This window comes from Homo sapiens, chromosome Y (assembly GCF_000001405.40).
Source record: "Homo sapiens chromosome Y, GRCh38.p14 Primary Assembly".
NCBI lineage: Eukaryota > Metazoa > Chordata > Mammalia > Primates > Hominidae > Homo > Homo sapiens.
In genome coordinates this window covers 13,367,978-13,393,035 of record NC_000024.10, presented here as the reverse complement: position 1 = coordinate 13,393,035, position 25,058 = coordinate 13,367,978, and the positions used below count along the sequence as shown (strand labels likewise).

Below are 25,058 nucleotides of genomic sequence, written 5' to 3'. Positions count from 1 at the left end.
CTGGTCTCTACAATTAGTAGTTAGCCAAGTGTAGTGGCATGTGCCTGTAGTTGCAGCTACTTTCAGAGCTGAGACTGAAAGTCTGCTTGAAGAGTCAGAGGCTGCAGTGTGGTGTGATACTGCACTCCAGCTTCTGCGGCAGAGTGAGACCCTGTCTTAAGGAGAAAAAAACAAACAGAATTTCATGGTGGGGGAAGCTTATTACACACATATGTAATTTTTTAGGTCTACCCTTATGTTTCTAGTACAAGTAGAAAATAGTGATGTAGAGAAGTAGATTTGATGCAGAATTTTATCCAAGACAGGAAAGATGCTGGTATTTTCCATTTTTCATATTACTATGAGATGTAGTAAGATATAGAACATTTAACTGGCTGGTTCTTTAACTCATCTGTGACAAGCTTCATGGGAAGTTTTTAAGAATTATCTGTTTGTTTCTCTACTTCACTTCTCCCTGTGCTCCACAAGGTACACACGGTGGCCTTAGAGATTCATTGAATCAAAGTTGATATACCTTCAGGTTGGGATATTATAACCTAGGGATTGATTTTGTTTTACAAAATGCATTTAAATCCATTTATGCTGGAGGTTGCAATTTTTTGAATTTTTGCAGTCGTACCTTGGCGATGACCTTAAGCAATAGGATATAAGTAACCCCCGCATGCTTAGCGTTCCAATAGTGGAACACTAGGCATAAATGGGTTAAGAATTGCCCATCTTTTTACATGAGTGTCATGAATAAAAATTCATAACCTGCCATTCCACGTTTTGGGTATGTCTTTTTTTCATGTATTATGTTGTTGCTCTTTTAAAAACATTTTCTTAGTCTTTTGATATAGGAAAAGTAATTTTATTATTTTATTTTTTAAGAGACCAGGTGTCCCTTGTTGCCCAAGCTGGAGTGCATTAAGGGGACAATTTTAGTTTACTGCAGCCTTGAACTCCTGGGCTCAAGCCATCCTCCCTCTTCAGCCCCTGGAGTAACTAGGACTGCTAGCATTCCAAGCCAGTTTATTTTAATTTTTATTACAGATAGGGTCTTGCTGTGTTTTTAAAGCTGATCTCAAAACACCAGGGACAAAGTGATCCTCACGCTTCAGCCTCACAAAGTGCTGGGATTACAGGTGTGAGCCACTGTGCTTGGCCCCAGTTAGATAATTTTTTATGACCCCAATAAATGAGAAGAGCTGGTGAAAATTATACTTGACAGTAAAATATCTTGAAACTGTGTTTGATTCTAACATTAAACATGCCTGATGTGTTAGTCTATTCTCATGCTGCTAATAAAGACATCCGCAAAACTAGGTAATTTATGAAGGAAAGAGGTTTAATTGACTCAGAATTCAGCATGGCTGGGGAGGCCTCAAGAAACTTACAGTCATGGTGGAAGGAGAAACAAACACATCCTTCTTTTACATGGTGACAGGAAGGAGAAATGGTGAGCAGTGGGGAAAAAGTCCTGTATAAAACCACCAGATCTTGTGAGAACTCAGTATCATGAGAATAGCATGAGGGTAACTGCCCCCATTATTAAATTATTAATATCTCCCACTGGGTCCCTCCCATGGTACATGGGGATTATGGGAACTACAATTCAAGGTGAGATTTGGGTGCGGACACATATCACGTGATACGGAGGAACTAATTTTAAATGCATTCTACCTATTAGTATTGTTTGTACAGTTGAAGATATTAAAATAATCTCAATTTGTATCAAAGGAAAGAAATGTATGAATTTTAAATGACAGTGTAATTTTTAAAGATACAAATATAAAAAATTATTCAGTGAGTAATCACTGAAGTTACAGAATTTTTATATTTGAATCTTTAAAAATTAGACTATACCTGTTTGTGTAGTAGTGGTCAGTAAAATAGAGTGGGGACATGAAATGTAAACTGAGTAGAGTCTTCTCAGAAGTGGAAAAATGGGTAGTGTGCTTTCATATGGTAACTTCATGTTAGTGGACATATTCAGTGGAATTCTTTATCTCAGTGATACCTTGTTAATATAGGAATGTCCTCCTCATTTAAAAAATTCTGTTACAAGCATTTGTCTTCCATAAGTAGGCTGAAATATAAAATGTAGTATTGTGTGAGTACATATGTAGGTTCTTTTGGTTTTCCTAATTTTTAACCCGTGAATGAAAGACTGTCAACTACGTTTTCTCATATACTTTTAGTATCTTCTGTCACCTGATAATTACATTTTCTTAAATTTGCTGAGCTTTTCTTTTTCTTAATCTTTCAGTAGCCAGTTAAATAGGCTTTGTAGCTTTTTGGATAAACATAAGGTTTACCCTTACTGTGTTGTTATGATGATTACATTAATTGCTAAAATCAGTGTAAGTTCTTAACAAAATACCAGCAAAAATACTAACGAGATAAAAGTACTAAAAAATAAAATTCAGTTACACATTGAAAGGCTAACATACTATGATCAAGAGGGAATTATCCATAGGATGTAATGATCATGCAAACATTGCAAACTAATCAGTGTGATATACTACATAAACATAAAAGACAGATGATTATATGATTATCTCAGTGGCTGGATTAAAAGCATTTGACAAAAACTCAATGTTGTCTCATGATAAAAATTCTCAATGTATTACATAAGGAATGTATCTCAATATAATTAAGGCCATATATCACAGATCTGTAGTTAACATCATACTCTATTGGGGATAATGGAAAGCTTTTTCACTAAAATCAGGAGCAAGACAAGGATGCTCACTTTTAGTACTCCTGTTCCACATAGTACTAGAAGTCCTAGCCAGAGCAGTTAGTTATGATGAAGAGATAGAGAAATACTTATTGGGAAGAAAAAGGAAAAGAAGTCTTGGTTTGCAGAAGTCATGATCATATAGATGAAAAAAAAACCTAATTAACACCTCCAGGAAAAATTATTAGAACCAAAAAGAAAAAAACAAATTTATTAAAGCTTCAGGATACAAAATTAACATACAGATATCATAGTATTTGTATGTGTTAATAATGAATCATCCCCAAAAGAAATGGAAAGATCTGTAGCCTGAAATATGTTAAACATCCGTGAAGGAAGCTGAAGATGACAGAAATAAATAGCAAGGTCTCTCCACGTTCATGGATTAGAAGAATCAGTATTTATCATAATGTGCATACTACACTAAGTGATGTCTCACAATTCCAATGGCATTTGCACAGAAATACAAAAAACTATTGTAAAATTTGTGTGGAATCAAAAGACACCCTGAAGAACTAAAGGAATCTTGGACAAGATAAACAAGGCTGGGCCATTACACTTCCTAATTTCAGAGTACGTTACAAAGCGACAGTAATGAAAATGGTAAGATAGTGACTGGTATGTAAAAAAATACATAGAACAATGGTACTTTATACAAAGCCTGGAAGAAAACCCCACATAGATAGGGTCAGCTGGTATTTGACAAAGGATCCAAGAAAATACAGTGGAAAAGGATAGTCTTTTTTGGGGAAAACTGGACATCCACATATATAAAAATGGAATTAGATTTTTATCTTACATCATACACAAAAAGCAACTCAAAATGAATTGAGGACTTATAAACATAAGACTTAAAACCATAATAGAAGAAAAGAGCAGGGAAAGCTGCATGACATTGATCTTAGCAGTGATTTTTCTGGATGTGGCACTAAAGACATAGGTAATAAAAGCAAAAATAGGTGGATTGCATCAAACTGAAAAGCTTGTATACAGCAAAGAAAGCAATCAACAAAGTTAAAAGCATCCTGGGAGTTTGGGAGATGGTACTTGCCAACCATAAATTCCAATAAGGGTTAATACCCCAAATATCTCCAAAACTCATATTACTTAGTAACCAAAAAGTAACCTACAAGTAAAAGTGGGCAAAAGGACCTGGATAGACATTTTTCCAAAGAAAGTATAGTAATGGTCAACAGGTATATGACACACTGCTTAGTAGAACTAATCAGGGAATTTCAAATCAAATCCATCATGAAATATCACCTCATATCTTAGGATGGCTTTATTAGTCAGTTTTCATACTGCTGATAAAGACATACCCAAGACTGGGAAATTTAGAAAGAGGTTTAATTGACTCACAGTACTACATGGCTGGAAGGCCTCTGGAAACTTAGAATCATGGCAGAAGGTGAGGGAAAGCAAGGCACTTCTTCACAAGGCGGCAGGAGAATTGTCAAGCAGAGACGGAAGAGCCCAATAAAATCATTAGATCTTGTGAGAACTCACTATCACAAGAACAGCATGGAGGAAACCACCCCCATGCACCTGGTCTCCCTTGACACGTGGGTATTTGTGGAGATTACAATTGAAGATGAGATTTGGGTGGGGGCACAAAGCCTAACTACATCAGTGGATGTTAATCAAAAAGTTAAAAGTGATACTGAGGATGTGGAGAAAAGAGAACAAACCATACAGTCCTGGTGGGGGATATAAATTGGTACAGCCATTATGGAAAACAGATGAAGGTTACTTAAAAAATTAAAAATAGAGCTACCATATAATCCAGCCATTCACTTCGTATATATCCAAAGGAAACAACATCAGCATCTGTCTGCACTTCATACTAATTGTAGTATTATTTGCAGTAGCCAAGAAACAAACTACATGGCCATTGAAAGATGAATGGATGAAGAAAACAGGGGAGGGTGTATCTAAATATATACACAATGGAATGTTATTTGACCTTTACTATAATGCATGTTGTGAAATGTTTAAAGACACATGTATAACATAAGTATCTACAAATGCTATTTGCATGCAACATGCAGTAACATCTATGTTAGTTTTCTTCTTGGATATTTTTTGTTCATTTTGATAAGATAACTGGAGCATTTCATCATCTATTGTTACTTCTTTTGGTGTTATTTGTACATGTTTTTAACATAGTAAATCTCCTTAAGCCTACTTTATTTTAGTTTTGTATTTAGAAATTACCTAAATGAATCCAGAAGTTGAATCCTTGAAAAGATCAAATGGATATTTCTCACAGATGAAAAAAATGAAAAATGTTAAAAGTAGTGTTGGAGAAATTTGCTACAGGGTTACAGATGTGTTAATAGAAGATATTTTAGAACTATTGTATAAAAATATAACAAGTTTGAAAATCTAGAAGCTTTTTCCTAGCAGAACATAAATGATGAAATTTTACCCAGAAGTAGAAAACTTGAGTGGGCAAGTTGCTGCTCCAGTCTTATTCATAGAAATTAAATTTTTTATTGTTGTTAAGACAGAGTTTCACTGTTGTTGCCCAGGCTGGAGTGCATTGGTGCGATCTCAGCTCACTGCAACCTCTGCCTCCCGGGGTCGAGTGATTCCCCTGCCTCAGCCTCCCTAGTAGCTGGCATTATAGATGCCTGCCACCATGCCCAGCTGATTTTTGTATTTTTAGTAGAGAAGGGATTTCACCGCATTTGCCAGGCTGGCCTCAAACTCTTGACCTCAGGTGATCCACCCACCTCAGCTTCTCAAAATGCTGGGATTGCAGGCATGAGCCACTGCACCCAGCCAGAAATTAAAATTTAATATAAAAATTTTAAAAGGAAAACCTTTTCTGACTAGTCTTTCAGATTTAGAAACTAGTGATATTTTAACATTCATTTTGTTACTATAATGCTGCATAATTTTGAATGTGTTTGTACAAAATGAAAAGAAAAAGGGTCTGTGAATTCTTCTTCCCTCTGCCTCTAACTATATTTATTACCAAAGCCACCTGTGTTAATAGTTATTTGAGTATTGTACAAAACTCTTTTGTTTAGGTAAATTCACACATGTATTTGTATAATTTGTTTTTGTTTTCCTTTATTCAAATTATATGTAGCCTGTGAGCATACTCTGACTCTGAAGTTTTTTTGTTGTTTTTTTTTTAACTTATGTTTTGTAAGTTACTATTAGTACAAGTAGAGCTGTATGGTATGTCAGTGATCTACTTTGACCAGTTTAATTAATAATTGTGAAAATTAGAAATAATGTTACTGTGAATAATTCTTCATTTAAGCCATTTTAAACATGAATGAAATGTATGTTTGTTAGTTTATTTTGACGGAGTCTTGCTCTGTCACCCAGGTTGGAGGGCAGTGGCGCAGTCTTAGCTCACTGCAACCTCCTCCTCCCATATTCAAGCAGTTCTCCTGCCTCACCCTCCAGAACAGCTGGGATTGCAGGCACATGGGATTACAGGCATGTGCCACCATCCCCGGCTAAGTTTTGTATTTTTGTAGATACAGGGTTTTGCCATGTTGGTCAGACGTTGGTTAGGATCTACTCCTAACCTCAAATAGATCCGCCCGCCCACCTCAGCCTCCCAAAGTGCTGGGATTACAGGATTAATAACCACCATTCCCAGCCTTCATTATTTCTTAAAGTAAATCATAATTTAGAATTAGTTTTAGCACCAAACTAATTCTAAACTAGAATTAGTTTTAGCACCAAAAGTTTTGGTATTAAATTTTGGTACAAAAAAAACAGATTTTATTCATATAGACAGACACAAAAATTCTGTCAGAGGTAAGCCAGATCCAGTTTTTATGTAAAAGAATATTATGTTAGACATAGTCTTATTCTATGAATTTAAGTATAACTGAACATAAAGATATTATAAGAAAATACTTGGAATGGGATATAAATGAAATAGACTTGGCCGGGCGCGGTGGCTCACGCCTGTAATCCCAGCACTTTGGGAGGCCGAGGCGGGCGGATCACGAGGTCAGGAGATCGAGACCATCCCGGCTAAAACGGTGAAACCCCGTCTCTACTAAAAATACAAAAAATTAGCCGGGCGTAGTGGCGGGCGCCTGTAGTCCCAGCTACTTGGGAGGCTGAGGCAGGAGAATGGCGTGAACCCGGGAGGCGGAGCTTGCAGTGAGCCGAGATCCCGCCACTGCACTCCAGCCTGGGCGACAGAGCGAGACTCTGTCTCAAAAAAAAAAAAAAAAAAAAAAAAAATGAAATAGACTTTCAGAAATTAATAATGAAGAAACTTTTAGAAAGTATGCCTTAATGTTCTTCCCTCAGTGAATAAAAGCAGACAGAACATTTCAAAAATTGCTTCAAGAAAAAGAAGTTGCATGTGTCTACAACATAAGAAATGGCAAAGGTGAAATAATCATTATTAGAGAAATTAAAATAGCTCACAAAAATCTATTCTGGAGAGCTCTATGTGAACAGAGATTGAGACACAGAAGAATTGCCAGGCTTAGTGGCTCACACCTGTAATCCCAGTGCTTTGAGAGGCTGAGGTCAGAGGATCCCTTGAGGCCAGGAGTATGAGACCAGCTTGGGTAACATAGCAAGACTCTGTCTTTACAAAAAGTTTTGAAAAAAATTTTTTTAGCTAGATGCAGTGGTTCATTTCTGTAGTCTCAGCACTTTGGGGGCTAGGATGAGAGAATTCTTTGAGGCCAAAAGTTCAAGACCAGACTGGGCGACATAGCAAAAAGTACAAAAATTAGCCAGGTGTAGGGGTGCACACCTCTCTCCTAGATATTCAGTAGGCTGAAGTGGGCACATTGTTTGAGCCCAGGAGTTGGAGATTATAGTTAACTTTGATCGCTGCCCTTCAGTCTCGAAGACAGAGCAAGACAGAAAAGAAAATTGTACAATATTCTAAGGCAGTACGTACTACAAATATATGTCTTCCTGTAAACATTAATATCAGTTTATATCTACAAAGTGTAATAACTTGTTAGAATTGAGTCTTCTCATCCAGGAATATTTCTCTATTTTTTCTTTGGTATCTTCATCATTTTTTTTTATTGTTGTCATTTTCCTCATATAGATCTTGTATATATTTCCTAGATTTATACCTACTTTATTTTGGGAATGTTATGTAAAGAGTATTGTGTTTTTAATTCCAAATTCCACTAGTTCATTGCTGGTATATAAGAAACAGTTGGCTGGGCACAGTGGCTCATGCCTGTAATTTCAATATTTTGGGAGGCCAAGGCGGGTATCACCTGAGGTCAGGAGTTGGACATGAGCCTGACTAGCATGAAGAAACCCCCGTCTTTATTAAAAATACAAAAAAATTAGCCAGGTTGGTGGCACTTGCCTATTATCCCAACTACTCGGGAGGCCAAGGCCGGAGAATCACTTGAACCTGGGAGGCAGAGGTTGCGGTGAGCCAAGATTACACCATTCCACTCCAGCCTGGGTAGCAAGAGTGAAACTCCATCTCAAAAAAAAGAAACAGTTGTCTTTCTTCGTATTACTCTTAGATCATGCAATTGTGAGTTAATCTCTTATTAATTTCAAGAGGGTTTTTTTGTCACTTCCTTCAGATTGTCTACATATTTTATGTTGTCCATGGAGAGAGCAGTTTTATTTCTTCCTTCCCAATTTGTAAACCTTTTGTTTTTTAACTATTAATATTTTTTGAGATTTGGTCTCACTCTGTTGCCCAGGCTAGAGTATAGAGGTGCGATCTGAGCTCCCTGCAACCTCTGCCTCCCAATCTCAAGCAATCCTCCCACCTCAGCCTCCAGAGTAGGTGGGAGCACAGGCATGCACCACCACACCTGGCTAATTTTTGTATTTTTAGTAGAGTCAGGATTTCACCATGTTACCCAGGCTGGTCTTGAACCCCTAAGCTCAAGCCATCTGCCCACCTCAGCCTCCCATAGTGCTGGGATTGCAGTGATCCCCTTGGCCTGCCATCGTGTGATTTTTTTTCTAAGCCTTTTGATTTAACGGATTACATTAATTGATTTTCAATTAAACTGTCTCTGCACATCAGGGATAAATCTCACTTGGTTGGATTGCAAAACAGGTTATTGTATTTCATTTGCTAATATTTTGCTGAACATTTTTGTATCGTATTTATAAGATATTTTGATTTGTAGTTTTTGTTTCTTGAAATGTCTTTCTGATTTTGGATTTAGAGTAGTACTGGCCATGTAAAATGAGTTAGCAAGTATTCTATTTCTTTCTCTTTAAAGAGATTGTAGAGAATTGTAGTTTCTTCCCTTAAATGTTGGTAGAATTCACCAGTGAGCTGATGTAGGCCTAGAGCCTTCTTTTTTAGAAGATTATTTATTATTGCCTTGAATTTTTTTTACTTGATATCTACTTATTCAGATTATGTGAGTTTTGGCAAATTGCCTCTCAAGAAGTTGGTTCACTTCCTCTAGATTTTTTGGCCTTTTTTTTATTGCATTCTCTTATTATCTTTTAATGTCCATTGGCATCAATAGCTACATTTGCGCTTTCATTTCTGAAGTGAGTTATTTGTGTCTTCTTTTCTTATTAGCCTGAAAGGTAGGGGATTATTGATGTATGGATCTTTTCACAGAACTAGTTTGGTTTCATTGACTTGTTTTTTATTGATTTCCTGTTTTCAGTTTGATTGCATTCTGTTCTAATTTTTATTGCTTAATTTTTTTATATCTAATTTGCTCCTTCACATTTTTTAAGGTGTATGCATAAGTGACTGATTTTCAGTCCTTTTTTTTTTTTTTTTGAGATGGGTCTTGCTCTGTCAGCCAGTGGCATGATCTCAGCTCACTGCAAGCTTTGCCTCTCGGGTTCATGCCATTCTCCTACATCAGCCTCCCAAGTAGCAGGTACTACAGGCACCCGCCACCATGCCCAGCTAATTTTTTGTATTAGTAGAGACCCAGTTTCACTGTTTCAGCCAGGATGTTCTCGATCTCCTGACCTCGTAATCCACCCGCCTTGGCCTCCCAAAGTGCTGAGGATTACAGGCATGAGCCACTGCGCCCAGCCAGTTTTTTGGTTGTTTTTTTTTTTTTTGACAGAGTCTCACTCTGTCACCCAGGCTGTAGTGCACTGGCATGATCTCAGTTCACTGCAACCTCCACCTCCCAGGCTGAAGCAATCCTCCTGCCTCAGCCTCCCAAGTACCTGGGATTACAGGTGCCTGCCACCACACCTGGCTAATTTTTGCATTTTTAGTAGAGACACAGTTTCCAGGCTGGTCTCAAACTCCTGACCTCAATTGATCGTCCGGCCTTGGCCTCTGAAAGTGCTGGGATTGTAGGCATAAACCACTGCGCCCGGCCCAGTATGTCCTCTTTTTTGATATATGCATTCAGTGTTGTAAATTCCACTGTAAGCACTGCTTTTGCTCCATCCGACAAACTTTTATAAGTTTTATTTTCCTTTAATTCAAAATGTTGTTTTATTTTCTTGAGAAATCTTTTTACTCGTGCTATAATAGGAGTGTGCTATTCAATCTTGAACTATTTTGGAAATTAACCAGTCCTTTTACTTTTATTGACTTCTAGTTTATACATCTGTCGATTCCTAGATTAAAGCTAATAGGAGTGTGCTATTTAATCTTGAACTATTTTGAAGATTAGTCCTTTTAATTTTATTGACTTCTAGTTTAAGTCTGATTTGTAGATTCAAGCTGCCCTCCACACGTTGTATAATTTCTTATTCTTTGAAATTTGTTAAGGTATATTTTACGATGCAGAATGTGTTGTGACTTTGTGAATGTTTTATTTGAATTTAAGAAGAATGTGTATTCTCCTGCTGCTGCAGGCTACACTTCCAAAAACAAATGGAGGTTGAAAATGCAGTGTTTGTGAGATGAAGACCCAGGGATACAGAGAGTTGACTCTTACATACCCTGGTTACACAGGGTAATTTGTGGAGCTTTAGTATGTGTGGATTTTGGTATCTTCTGGGGTACTAGAACCAATCCCCCATGAATATCAAGGGATGACTATATATTCAGTTGGTTGATGGTGTTGTTGATTTTGATATCCACTGTTTCTATGTTTTTATTGATTGATATTAAATTCTCCTACTCAGCTACTGAATTCCTCTATGTTTCCTTGGTGGTCTGCCTTTTTTTGCCTTATGTATCCATTGTTAGGTGCATAAATGTTAAGGATTGTTATGTCTTCTTGGAGAGTGGACTCCTTTGTTACTATGTAATGCTGCTCTTTATCCCAGAAAACGTTGCTTGGCTTGAAGTCTGCTGTGTTTCCTGCTTTTTTTAAAATTACAATTAGCATATATTTTATCTTTTCATATCATCTACTTTTAATATTTTTTAAAATATTTTAAGTGGGTTTTTTAATTAGTAGGAAGAGTATACTCTAAAATAACAATAAATAGTATAGTAAATACATAAATCAGTAACATGGTTATTTATTATCATTGCTGAATATGTTATACTATTCTGCACTTCTAGGCAACTGGCAGTGCAGTAAGTTTATTTACACTGACATCACCACAAACACAGGTATTCCACGGCACTAAGACTTTAACATGGCTCTGATGCCACCTGGGTTAAGAATTTTTCAGGTCCATTATAACTGTATGGGACCACTGTAATTTACACAATCTGTCATTTACTGAAAAAGTCGTTAGGTGGAATGTGACTTTAATTGGATTAGTATCTGCTGGTTTTGTTTGTTGCCTTTTTCTTTGTTTCTATTTTTGTCTCTGACTTGTTTCCACTTTTTGTGGTTTAACTGAGCATTATGTAAGATTGCATTTTCACTCCTGTCTTACTGTCACTTACTCTTTTTTTTCCCCCACCCAAAGCAGAGTTTCACTCTTGTTGCCTAGGCTGGAGTACAATGGAGTGATCTCTGCTCACTGCAGCCTCCGCCTCCCGGGTTCAGGCAATTCTCTTGCCTTAGCATCCTGAATAGCTAAGATTACAGGCATGCGCCACCACGCCCTGCTAATTTTTGCATTTTTAGTAGAGACGGGGTTTCATCATGGTTTCAAACTCCTCAGCTCAGGTGATCCACTCACCCTGTCTCTCAAAGTACTGGGATTACAGGCGTAAGCCACCACGCCCAGGCTGTCACTTAACTCTTAATTGTGCACTAATAGAAGTCCACTATAAAGCAGCACTATTGCTCATTACCCCTTCACTGGTAGTGAGAGTACTTTAGAATAATAAAATAATCCTAATTTTACCTCCCTCTCCCTGTATCATTCTTGTCATTCATTTCACTTATATTGTTTTAAAATGAACTGTTAATTTGTTAGATCAACTAAGAATTTTTATAAGTGTTTATATTACCTCCACTTACCCCTTTTTTGATGCTCTTCTTTTCTTTATGCATATTGAGTTTCTGACCATTGTCGCTTTCCTTCTCTCTAATAATTTGTTTTAGCATTCTTTACAAAGCAGGTATATTGGCATCAACTGCTTTCCTTTTTTATTTTTCTGAGTAGGTCATTTTGTGTTCTTCATTTTGGAAGGACAGTTTATCAGGGTATAAACTCCCTGGTTGGTGTTTTTTTTTTCTTTTCCCCTGTAAACATTAGAGACATTTTACTCCACTTCTTGCTTTAAGGAGAAGACATAGATAATATTTATCATTGCTGTCTAATTTTTTTTCCTTCTAGTTTCTTTCAGTATTTTTCTTTATCTTGATTTTGTATAGTCTGAAAATGATATGCTATGTATAAATGTGTCGGCATTTATTCTGCCTGGTGTTCTGTGAGCTTTCGCCATCTGTGGTTTTGTGTCTGAGATTAATTTGTGGATATTCTCACTTTCGTTTCAAATATTTTATGTTTCTTTTTCTGTAATTCCCGTTATAGGTAATTTACACTTTTTGTCATTTTCTCACATTTTTTCTTCATTTTTCAATTTAGGAAGTTTCGGTTGGTAATCTCAAGCTGAGAGATTCTTTCCTCAGTATTGTCTAGTTTACCAGTAAGTCTTCAAAGGTATTCTTCTTTTCTATTATATTATTTTCTATCTCTAGCATCTCTCTTTGGTTCTTAGGAGTTCCTGTCTTTACCTGTTTCTGCTGTCTGCTTTATCAGTTAAATCTCTTAGGATCTTAATTACAATTAACTGAAATTCCTAGTCTAATATTCGCAACATCTGTGTCATAATTGAGTTTGGTTCTGATCCTTGCTCTATCTCTTCCAACTGTGTTTTTTTGCCTTTTTGGTTATTTTTTTTCTTGATATCCACACCTGGTTACTAGATGTGTGTGTATATATATATATATATATATATATATATATATATATACACACACACACACACACACACACACACACACATCTATATATATATATATATAGATGTGTGTATATATATATATATACTAGATGTATATATATATATTTATATACACACATCTATATATATAAATACACATACATACACACACACACACACACACACACACACACCCCTTAATGTTGTGGTAAGTTGTGGTGGGGAGGAGGAGCTTTGTATTTAGGTCTGTGATTTAGATTTCAGTCTTTAATGAGTCTGTTCTGAGCTGTCAACTTCATAGTGCTTCTCAGATTTTTTTCCCCGTGTTGATACAGGACAGGATAGCTAGGTTGGGAGAATTTTTTTTCCCTCATTATTCACTGTGAGAAACTGGAGGTAAAACTCAGAAATTTATGTGTGTGCCCCAGATAACTGGTCCCCCTGGTATTTGTATCTCTCACATGTGTCCATGCTGAGCTCCTGTAATTTGTCACTCACAGTTCAGATTTCCCTGTGACAGCACTGGTTCCTTCTGAGGATAGTGCTCGGGGGTGTTTGCTCTGGCCAGTCCTTACTCCCTGCATTGGTCTGTCATTTTCCTCCATTTTGGGTTTGTTGACTTGTGCTGTGACCCCCACTTCTCTGATGAATCTAAAAAGAGCTGTTGATCTTTCAGCTTGTTTGGATTTTTACTTTGCTAGGATGGAGTGATGACTTCCAGCTTCTTAAATGCCAAATTGGAAACCAGAAATCTTTATTTTTTGAAAGAAGCAACTCTGTTGCTTTTTTACATGTTCATTATGTTTTGTTTGACATTTTAAATATTTTAAGATGTCAGTTCTAGAAGACAGTTTCTTCCCTCTCCTCAGAATTTGATTTTGTTTATTACTGTAGTCCACATTTGGTTTTTAAATGACTGTTTAAATTATGTTTCCAGAGTCTGTATTTGCCAGGCAAGATGTCAGACCCCAGCACGGGGTTGGTAAATTCATTTTACGCTGATCCTCCCCGCCTCGGCCTCCCAAAGTGCTGGGGATTACAGGTGTGAGCCACCACACCCAGCCACATTTTTGTCTTTAAAAATTATTATTAAGACCAGGCCTGGTGGGGTCCCGTGGCTCACGTTTGTAATCCCAGCAATTTGGGAGCACAAGGTGGGCAGATTACTTGAAGCCAGGAGTTGAAGATTAGCCCAGCCAACATGGCCAAACACCCTGTCTCTACAAAAAATTAACTGGGCCTGCTGGCACGCACCTGTAGTCCCAGCTGCTCAGGAGGCTGAAAGATGAGACTTGCTTGAAAAAAAAAATTTTTTTTTGAGACAGAGTCTGCTTTGTTGCCCAGGCTGAAGTGCAATGGTGTGATCTCGGCTCACTGCAACCTCTCCCTCCCAGATTCAAGTGATTCTGCTGCCTCAGCCTCCCAAGCAGCTGGGACTACAGGTGTGTGACACCATACCTGGCTAACTTTTGTACTTTTAGTAGAGACAGGGTTTTGCCATGTTGGCCAGGCTGGTCTCAAACTCCTGAACTCAAGTGTTCCATCTGCCGTGGCTTTTCAAAGTGCTGGGATTATAGGCATGAGCCACTGCACCTGGCCAAAAAAATATTATAAATATTATTTGCCATTTTTCTATTCTCATACTTTCATTCTGTGTTAAATTTGAAACTTATTGTTTGTAAATGGCATACAGTGAGTTTTTTTCTTTTTTTTTTAAACCCATGGTTGTCTTTACATACTGCATTGAGGAAGATTATTGACCTGTTTGGGATTATGTGATTTATCTTCTAAAATTTCATATTGACATATCAGTTGGATGTTTGAAAATATCTATATAATTTTCTTTAGTTTCTCTGGTTATTTACAATATGCACATGTGACATCTAGTGTTGACATTTTGCTACTTCAGTTGAAATGTAGACATCCCTTATATCTATTTCCTTGCCTTTTTACCTTCCGCACTTTAAAAATAAGTCTGTTATACCAGATACTTTTTTAAAAATAACCATGCATGGTTTTATAAACTTATATGTTGAAATCTTATTTTGAGTACACATGTCTGCTCTTTTTTTTTCTTTCAGATTCTCTAAGATTCCTTTTTATCATTTCTTTTTGAAGAACTCGATTTTTATCATACTTTTTGTGGTAGGTTGGCTACCAACAAATTTCTTTATCTGAGAATGTATTTCTTTTTCTTTGTTCCTGACATACATTTTTACCAGATATAATTTATGTTGAAAAGTCTTTTCTTTCAGCAGTTGACTAATACACGATTTCCTTTCTTGTTTGTGGTTTCAGGTGGGAAATTCATATTTGCCATAGATATTTTTGGATTTATCCCATGGAGCTTTGTTCAGCCTTTTTTGTTTTTTGTTTTTTGAGATAGAGTCACCCTCTTCTCACCCAGGCTGGAGTACAATGGCTCAGTCTCGGCTCACTGCAACCTCCACGTCCCCGGTTCTAGCAATTCTCCTGACTCAGCCTCCTGAGTAGCTGAGATTACAGGTGCCCGCCACCAAGCCTGGCTGATTTTTGTATTTTTAGCAGAGACAGGGTTTCACCATCTTGGCCAGCTGGTCTCAAACTCCTGACCTCATGTGATCCACCCACCTCAGCCTCCCAAAGTGCTGGGATTACAGACGTGAGCCACCACATCCAGCCTGCTCAGCCTTTTGAATAGGTTTATGTCTGTTGACAATTTGTGACATTTAACCATAATTTTATCATTTACTCTTTTTGTCACATGTGCTTCATATTTATGAATGCTTATGTTGTAAATGCTTGATATTTCATTATTGGTCCATAGGTCTTCGTTTTATGTATGTATTTAATCTGATTTTTTTTGTTGTTGTGCAAATGTAAATTATGTTGCCAAGCCCTCAGGTTCATTGTAACAGAAGATTATGTTCTCTTTTCATTTCTGCTGTGCTACTGAGCTGTTCAGTGAGTTTTGTTTTAGCATCTTTAAATTTTATAATTCAATTTCTTTCATTTTAAACTTGTATTTCTTTGCTGAGATCTTTGTCATTTTCGTTTGTTTCAAGGGAATTTGAAGTGATTATTGAAGCATTTTTGTGATGTAGATTCTGTCTCTACTCTTCCAGACTGTGGTTCTAAACAAAATTCCTTTGTAAGAGATTGGTGGTTCTACATTATTCTGTTTGTTTATTTAGTGTTCCTTCAGGCTCTCACTCTAATGTTGCTGGTTTCACGGGAAGAGGATGCTTTCCACAGCCATGTTGACTGGTGCCTCTTTGTGTTGGGGAAGGTAGTCTCAGCATCACGGGGATGAAAGGACACTTAGAAAAGGACTTTTGAATATGCCGTTTATTAAAAGGGATCCACTAGGTTCTTTTACTTTTTTGGGTGCTCTACTGTTTGTATTTTCAGTGATGGGAATGAGCCTGGGCATGCTGTTCTTTTAGGTGGGAGGTCCTAATACTGTTACTACATTGGTCTAGACCCAGAATGCCTAGCTAGTTTACACTTCCAATTCTGGTTTTCTAAGCTGTCTTTTGGTTGTGTCTCAAGTGACTTCCAGGGCTTGTCTAGTCAACTGATTTTGACAGTGTTCTCTGTGTATAATACAGTGATGATAGCATTGTGCTTCCAAAAAATGATAATGAGCAGTTGGACATTTATGCAGAAAAAATGTGGATCTCTACCTCACACTGTACACAAAATGGAATTCAAAATGGATCACAAGTATACAAATATATAAGAAGTTGTCTTTATTATTAGTTTTTAGATATAACACTTTGTACCATCCTTGTGAAAAAAATACTTATATTTGATAATTAGCATTAAAATCTTTTGCTCTCAGAAACACTGTTAAAAGATTGAAAAGATGAGCCATAGACTGGGAGAAAATATGTAAAAATCACATATTGAATAAAGGGCTTTGTAGAATGATACAAGAAACTTGTAAAACCCAACAGTAGTAATAATAAGAAAATATTTAAAATGGTGAAAATATATGAAGAGAAACACATTGAAGAAGATACTCAGATTGCACATAACATGAAAAGATGTTACTAGGTAAATTCATGTTAAAACAAAAAATAAGTTAGTACTATTAGCATACAACTGTTAGAAAGTCTAAATTTTTAAGAGCCTAACAATATTATGTCTGGTAAGTTACACAGTAACATAAATAAATAATCCATTGCTTTTGGTAATGCAAATTGAAACAGTCATTTTGAAAGACAGTTTCTTATAATACTAAATACAGACTTTACGTATTACTCAAGTCCTTCTGCACGTTTTCCAAACTGACTTGAAAGTCTCTTTCCTAACAAAAATCTGTGTATGAATGCTTATTCCTAACTGCTGCATAATGGAAACTACCAAGATACATTTCACTAGGTGAGTGTGTAAAACTGTGCTAATACATACTATTTAATATTACTAAATATTGCAAAGGAATGAACTATGAATTCACGTACCAACAAAATTGAATCTTAAATACACATTGTTAAGTTAAAGAAGCCATTACAAAAAGACACCATACTTTGTTAATCTATTTATTTGCCATTTTGTAAAAACTGTAAGGATAGTAATGAGATCAGGTGTTTTCAGGGAGTTTAGAGAGGAGTGATAATTAGATGAAGCCCCCAGGCTATGTTAGAATAATCAAATCATTTTGCATGCTGCTCTATTGTTGGATATATGACATTATCTTGGATACATTAGCTTACTTATTTAAGACAAGCAACTGACTTTAGAGCCTAAAGAATGAACCTTTAATGTATATAAAATTTAAAAAAATAATGTGAGGTCAGGAAATTCCAGAATGGAACATAGACTGTATCCAAATAAATTTTGTTATAAATGTATCACATCATCTCTTTGAAGAGAGTAATGGGAGAAATCTACTGATCTTTGGAAATGAAACTACGTTTAAACAAAATAAAACAATCTTATGCCTAAGAATTGTGCTGTTAGTGGGAAAGTTGTTATGGGGATAAATTTTAGAAATTCAAAAACTATAACATACTGGCATTCTACAAATAAGACAGTGAAATAAGAAATAGAAAATAACAGAAAAATAGAGGAGGAGAAAAAGAAATGAGAAGATGAAATAGGAAAATAAGAAATTCTGCAAATAAGAAAACGAATGGTATTCTTGGGAGCAGTTTATTCCCTGTTGAGGTAGGAGTCTACAAATACCCCATTGGGGGATAGTAGAATGAACTATGGGAAATGGATTATATCTGGTGATATCAGTATGAACTCATGTTTGGATTAATGTATTTTTATATAGATAGCTATATATATATCTGTATATCCTTGTTCTGTCAGCCAAGATGAACTGAAGCAGTGATGCCACACTATTAGCAAGCACACCTACTGCCCGGATCTTTGTTACTAATACTATTCTCTAGTAAAAGGAACTAGTGCTCCTTGGAGAAGTGGCTGATTCTAGGACTGGTGCATAAGATGAGTCTTAAGTATTACTAACTCAAGAATTGCTTGGGGATATGGAGTGGGGGCACCATGTCATTTGGATGAAGATGTTTTTTAAATGTTTATGGTTATTCTTTATTTTAATATTTTCAGTGGATATATTTTTGTGGCTTAAAATAAATATAAAAAGCTAAAACAAAAGTTTTACTGTTTTCTGTCATAGTTCCCAAACCGCTTTGCTAATGAGAACACTTTTATATACTAATTTCTCTAAAAATTTTCAGAATTTAGGGTATTGAGGATATAAGAATGTATTTTGTTTTGTTTTGTTTTAAAGACTAAGTGAAATAAGCTGGGCTGGGCACGGTGGCTCACACCTGTAATCCCAGCACTTTGGGAGGCCGAGGCGGGCGGATCATGAGGTTAAGAGATCAAGACCATCCTGGCCAACATGGTGAAACCCCATCTCTACTAAAAATACAAAAATTAGCTGGTGGTAATGGCATGTGCCCTGTAATCCCAGCTACTCAGGAGGCTGAGGCAGGAGACTGTCTTGAACCCTGGAGGTGGAGGTTGCAATGAGCTCTCAAAAAATAAAAATAAAAAGCCAGGCAGAAAAGGACAAATGCTGTGATCTACCTATATGAAATATACAGAATAGACAAATTTAAAGATCTAAAGTAAAGGTTACCAGGGGCTGCAGTCAGAAGAGAATGGGGAGTTAGTAAAGTGACAGATTTTGTATTTCAAGTGGTGAAAAGGCTTTGAAAATAGTGATGATGGTTACACAACACTGTGAATGTACTTAAATGGTACACTTAAAAATAATAAAATGTGCTTTCAGAGGCTGAAGCAAGAGGATTGCTTGAGGCCAGGAGTTCGAGACCAGCCTGGGCTCAAATCTATGTATAGGTTTATGTATAAACCTTTTCATAAAGCAGCATGCTATACTGACTGTATTTCTTGTTTTTTGTTTTTTGGTTTGTTTTATAACTAGTGAAATAAACATCCCTTGACATTTACTATTTTTTTCTTCTTTTACCTTTAAGACTATAGGCACGTGCCACCATGCCCATCTGGTTTTTAAAACATTTTTGTAAAGATGGGGTCTTGTTATGTGGCACACGCAGGCCTCAAACTCCTGGCCTAAGGAAATCCTCTTGCCTCAACCTCCTAAGGCATATTTTATGTGCTTTTAAGTGTGCCATTTTAGTAGCATTAAGTACATTCACAGTATTGTGTAACTATTGCCACTGTTTGTTTCCATAACTTTTTTTATCATTCGTAATACAAAATCTGTACTTAATAAGTCTTCATTTTCTTCTGACTTCAGCTCGTGATATCCTTTGCTTTATGTCTTTGAATTTGTCTGTGTTGGGATACATCACACAAATGGATCATACAGTATTTATCTTTTTGTGTCTTGCTTATTTTACTTAGCTTTGAATCTTCAGGGTTCATTCACATTCTCACTTCATTATTTTTTGTGCCTGAACAATATTTTGTTATACTCATTCACATTTATATTTTTGCTTAGCAGTTCATCTGTAAATGAACGGCTGAATTATTTCCATATTTTGGCAATTGTGAATAATACTGCTATACACAGCGGTGTACAAGTATTTATGTGAGTCTTTGTTTTCATTTGGGTATGTATCTAGTGGAATTGCTGAGAAATATAATTTTGTTTAGTATTTTAAGGAACCACCAAGCTGTTTTGCACAGTATTTGTACCATTCTTAATGGCAATACACAAGGGTTCAAATTTCTCCACGGCCTTCATCCTGGTGATTGTGAAGTGATATTTCATTATTGTTTGATTTAGAGTACCCTTAAACTAATGGTTTTGAGCATCCTTTCATGTGCTTATTGGCCACATGTATAGCTTCTTGGAGAAATGTCTATTCAAATCCTTTGCCCTTTTTTGAATTGGTTGTGAGGGGTTTGGTTGTCAAATTGTAGGAGTTCTAAATATATTCTGAATATTAATCCCATTGCCAAATACATGATTTGCATATATTTTGTCCCACTTTGCTGTTTTCACTATTTTGATAGTGTCCTTTGATGTACAGAAGTTTTAATTTTGGAGAAGTCGAGTTTTTCTTTTTGTTACCTATGTTTTTAGTGTCAGGTTTAAGACATCACTGTGAAATCCAAGATGTGAAGACATCATGCAATTTTTTTTAAGAGTTTTACTATTCAAGCCTTACATTTAGGGCTTTGATTCATTTTCAGTTAATTTTTTATATGTAGTATAAAATAAGGACCAATTTTCATTATTTTCAATGTGGATATTGAATTTTTCAAGCACCATTTGTTTAGAACACTATTTTCCATTGACATGTTTTGGCACCTCTGGTGAAAATCAGTTTGCCATCTGTGTGGGCATTTTATTTCTGGGCTCTCTTTTATTGTTATACCAATACCGTATTGTTTCATTTACTATCATGTTTTAGTCTGTATGAACTTTGAATGTGCAAATTCTTCACTTCATTTTTTCAACAGTTATTTGGCTGTTTTTGGCCCTTTGCAATGTGAATTTTAGGATGAGTTTTTCATTTTCTGCAAATCAGTATGCAGTTTTCATAGGGATTGTTTTACATCCGTAAACTGCTTTGGAAAGTGCTGTCATTGCAAAAGTATCAGGAATTTCAGTTCATGAACACAGAATGTCTGTCATTCATTTGTGTCTTTAATTTCTTTTAGCATTTTTTGTAGTTTTCAGTGTACAGATATTTCACTTTTGGTACACTTGTTCCTTCAAAATTTTTTTCTTTTTAATCCTGTTAATAGAATTGTTTTCTTAATTTTCTTTTCAAATTGTTAATTGCTATGGTTAGTGTACAGTAATCCTTCTCATCCCCATACCCCTACAACTTCTCCATCAGCTTTACTTGTGGGAGACAATTTCAAGACTTTTCCTTAGGTTACCTGAAAACTCAAATAGTACTGGACACTATATATGGATCACGGTTTTCAAGCTGATAATCAAGATAGCAACTAAGTAAGAGACTTAGAAGCATGTACAGGGTGGGTACATATATATAATGCAGGTACGCTGGAAAAAGTGATGACTTAGTTCCCAGTGGCATGAATGTTGTGAGATTTGATAATGCTACTAAGAACAGCACATGGTTTACAACTTACAAATTGTTTTATTTCTGGATTTTTTTTATTTACTATTTTTGGACTTCATTTGCATGTGGGTAACTGAAACCATGGAAAGTGAAACTGCAGATAAGGAGGGACTAAAGTACAACTAATTTTTGAATGTTGATTTTGAATCTGGCAACTTTGCTGTGTGTGCATGTGTGTGTGTGTGTGTGTGTGGTTGTGTATGCTTAATAATTTTTTAATAGATCATATCATCTCAGGAAAATGAGCTTACTTGCTTTTCTGACTTGAATGCATTTTATTTCTTGTCTAATTGCTTAGCTAGAACTTTCATTACTAAGTTGAGTAGAAATGTGATTTTGGTTTCCTTTGTAGTTCTTGATATTACGGGAAGAGCTGTCAGTGTTTTCACTGACATTTTTGGAGGGCTTATCACATATGGCCTTTCTTACATTGAAGAATCTCCCTTCCATTTATAATTTTTGAGGTTTGGGTTTTTGTATTGTTGTGTTTTGGAGACAGGCTCTCATTCTGTCGCTCGGCTGAAGTGCAGTGACTCAATCTTGGCTCCCTGCAGCCTCCACCTCCCAGGTTCAAGCACTTCTCCTTCCTAACCCTCCTGAGTAGCTGAGATTACAAGATTACAGGTGTGTGACACTATGCCCGGTTAATTTTTATACTTTTTTGTAGAGATGGGGTCTCACCATGTTGGTCAGACTGGTCTTGAACTCCTGGGCTGAAGCGATCCACCCACCTCGGCCTTTCAAAGTGCTGGGATGACAGACATATGCCACCTCGCCAAGCCAATTTTTTCTGTTTAATCATGAAAAAGTGATACATTTTGTCATGCCCTCTGCCCCTGCTTTTTTGCATTGAGATGGTTAGCCATTTTTAATTGTAATTTTTTGCAGTTAAAATATTTTGAATGTTTTACTCTGTATTTTCTTTCCTTCTGATACTCCCCAGTGATCTCTAGTGCCCTATTTGAAAATGTGTTTTTTATGAATTTAAGTGCTTATATTTTACTTCATTTTTCATTACTTGTGACTTTTGCTTTCACCTGGTTTTGGTCAGTTTTGCTATTTGCATGTGTGTGTGAGAGAAAGAGAAAGAGAGAAAAATAGTGTTGTTTACCTCTCACTGTTTTCTCTGTCAGTTTTGGTTACATTTATTTTCAGTCCCAGTTTACACAGCATTGATTTAGTTATATTGCTCTGCCAATTTGTTACAATCATTAGTAGCTCTTGAAGTGGCACTCTATCATTTTGTTATTTTATTTTTAAAATGTTAAAGCTGCTTAGGCAGCTGAGATTATAAGTACAAGCCACTTTCTTACTGCATTGTTTAGCATGGTTTTGCTATGTATATTTCAGATTCAATATTTATTGGTTTTATTTTAGTTTGGAGGAGTTGAGTTTAACTTTATAACTGTAACAATAATAGGTTTTAGTTGTATTAGTACTTTGTGAGGTAGAGCTGTGCAAATGGTTTTACTTAGAAAATTGCTTATAACCTTAAATATTACAAACAGTTACTTTATATCTATGGAAAATGTAATGTCTTTAAAATTATAAATATTTCTAAAGAGTATTTTCCAGAACTGTATATTTTAAATTTTGAATTTAAATTTTAAGCACTGTTTTGATTCTGTACTTTTTGCTAAGAGCAGTAGTTTGTAAAGAATAGTGGTACTTGATCTATTAACAAATTACTGTTCTCTTTGAAAGTATTTCTAGGCTAATACTGCATTTTCTGATAGAATACTCCTGTAGCTTTATGAATGTTACTTAAATGAAGTTAGAGGTTGCAGTTTTTTTGTGGCATTTGAGATACAGATTTTTTTTAAATGTTGGAATATTTGGTTACACCTTGTTATATTTAATGTTAGTTTTTTTGCTGTAATCTGAAACATGGCTGGCCTGGGCAAAATAAATATTCAGTTAAAATATTAGCAATTTTTACTTTGTTACTTTTTTATGGTACTAGAAACTTCTTAAACATTATTAGTATGTAAATCTTCATTGCTAGCTATTTTAATAATATTGTAATATTACTTTATTTTTTATTATCACATTTATAATTTTTAATATTCATCATTACGTATTGATTTATTATTTGTTACTTATAAGTTAAGTATGGCCATGTATATATTGTTAAAATCAAGAGTATTTTTATTTTAATATTTATTTTTCTCTAAATATTCTTTTTCCTTTGCTCTTTAGAGGAAGTATCATTCTGCAAAGGAGGCATATGAACAACTTTTGCAGACAGAAAACCTTCCTGCACAAGTAAAAGCAACTGTATTGCAACAGTTAGGTACATGAAAACTTTTATTATACATTACATTAATTTGAAGAGATTTGCCTTTTGAGGTTCAATTTTTTTCCCTCTGCTTAGACATTTGTTTTCATTTAGAAGTCTATGGGTTAAGACTAAATGTGACATTTAATTATTACGTATTATTTTGAGGTAAAATTTTAAATAAATAATTTTATTACAGTAGTTCCCTGTTTTACCGGAGTTATATGTTCCATGATACTCTGGAAGCTGCCGATAGTTCCAAACCCTGTATTTTATTATGTTTTTCTAATCTTGTAGCTAAGATGACTACTAAGTGACTACTGTGTGGGTAGCATAGACAGTGTGGATACACTAGAGAGAGTAGGAGTAGCTGTAGTAGTTTGAGTTTTCATCATGCTACCCAGAGTGGCATGCAATTTAAAACTTATATTTTATTTCTGAGATTTTTCCATTAAATATTTTTTGGCACTGGGAGACTGAAACCATAGAAAGCAAAAATGAAGGTAATGGGGGACTACTGTATAAATGTTTTCTAAGTGTATTTTCATTGTTGATAAACATAGTATCAAGCACACTCCTTCTCACCATCTGTATAAAGATAGTCCTTAGTGCTGGCCAGGTCCCAGCACTGTCGGGGTCCAGCATGGTCAGATCACTTACGGTCAGGAGTTTGAGACCAGCCTGACCAACATGGTGAAACCCCCTCTCTACTAAAATACAAAAATTAGCCAGGCGTGGTGGCGTGCATTTGTAATCCCAGCTACATGGGGGGCTGAGGCAGGAGAATCACCTAAACCCAGGAGGCAGAGGCTGCAGTCAGCCGAGATTGCGCCACTGCACTCCAGCCTGGGAAACAGAACGAGACTCTGTCTCAGAACAAACAAACAAAGAAAAAAAACAAGGCCGGGCGCAGTGGCTCACGCCTGTAATCCCAGCACTTTGGGAGCCAAGGCAGGCGGATCACGAGGTCAGGAAATGGAGACTGTCCTGTCTAACACGGCGAAACACCATCTCTAGTAAAAAAAAAAAAAAAAAAAAATAGCCAGGCATTGTGGCGGGCACCTGTAGTCCCAGCTACTCGGGAGGCTGAGGCAGGAGACTGGCGTGAACCTGGGAGGCGGAGCTTGCAGTCAGCCGAAATCGCGCCACCGCACTCCAGCCTGGGCGACAGAGCGAGACTCCGTCTCAAAAAAAAAAAAAAAAAAAAAGATAGTGCTTACTGCAGCTAGTATTGGATTCTGGACTTCCCCTACTGCTTGACGACAGGATGAGGTTTGACTTAAGTAAATTAGA

The 25,058-nt window shown here is 36.2% G+C and overlaps 1 protein-coding gene across 123 annotated transcripts in view; it reads left to right on the top strand.

Annotated features, from left to right (window-relative positions):
• UTY (ubiquitously transcribed tetratricopeptide repeat containing, Y-linked) overlaps window positions 1–25,058 on the top strand; it is a 246,776-nt gene that overhangs the window by 87,635 nt on the left and 134,083 nt on the right. For 119 of the 123 annotated variants that reach the window (NR_174404.1, NR_047613.1, NR_047627.1 and 116 more), the window contains one exon: window positions 23,687–23,780. The exons of 1 other annotated variant lie outside the window; for it this stretch is intronic. Coding sequence is in view for 67 of the 122 variants with exons in the window: in XM_011531448.4 (XP_011529750.1) it covers window positions 23,687–23,780 (94 nt within the window). In the remaining 55 variants the exon portion in view is untranslated. The remainder of the gene's footprint in view (window positions 1–23,686; window positions 23,781–25,058) is intronic. 3 more of the 123 variants (NR_047635.1, NR_047638.1, NR_047598.1) reach the window with 1 other exon arrangement.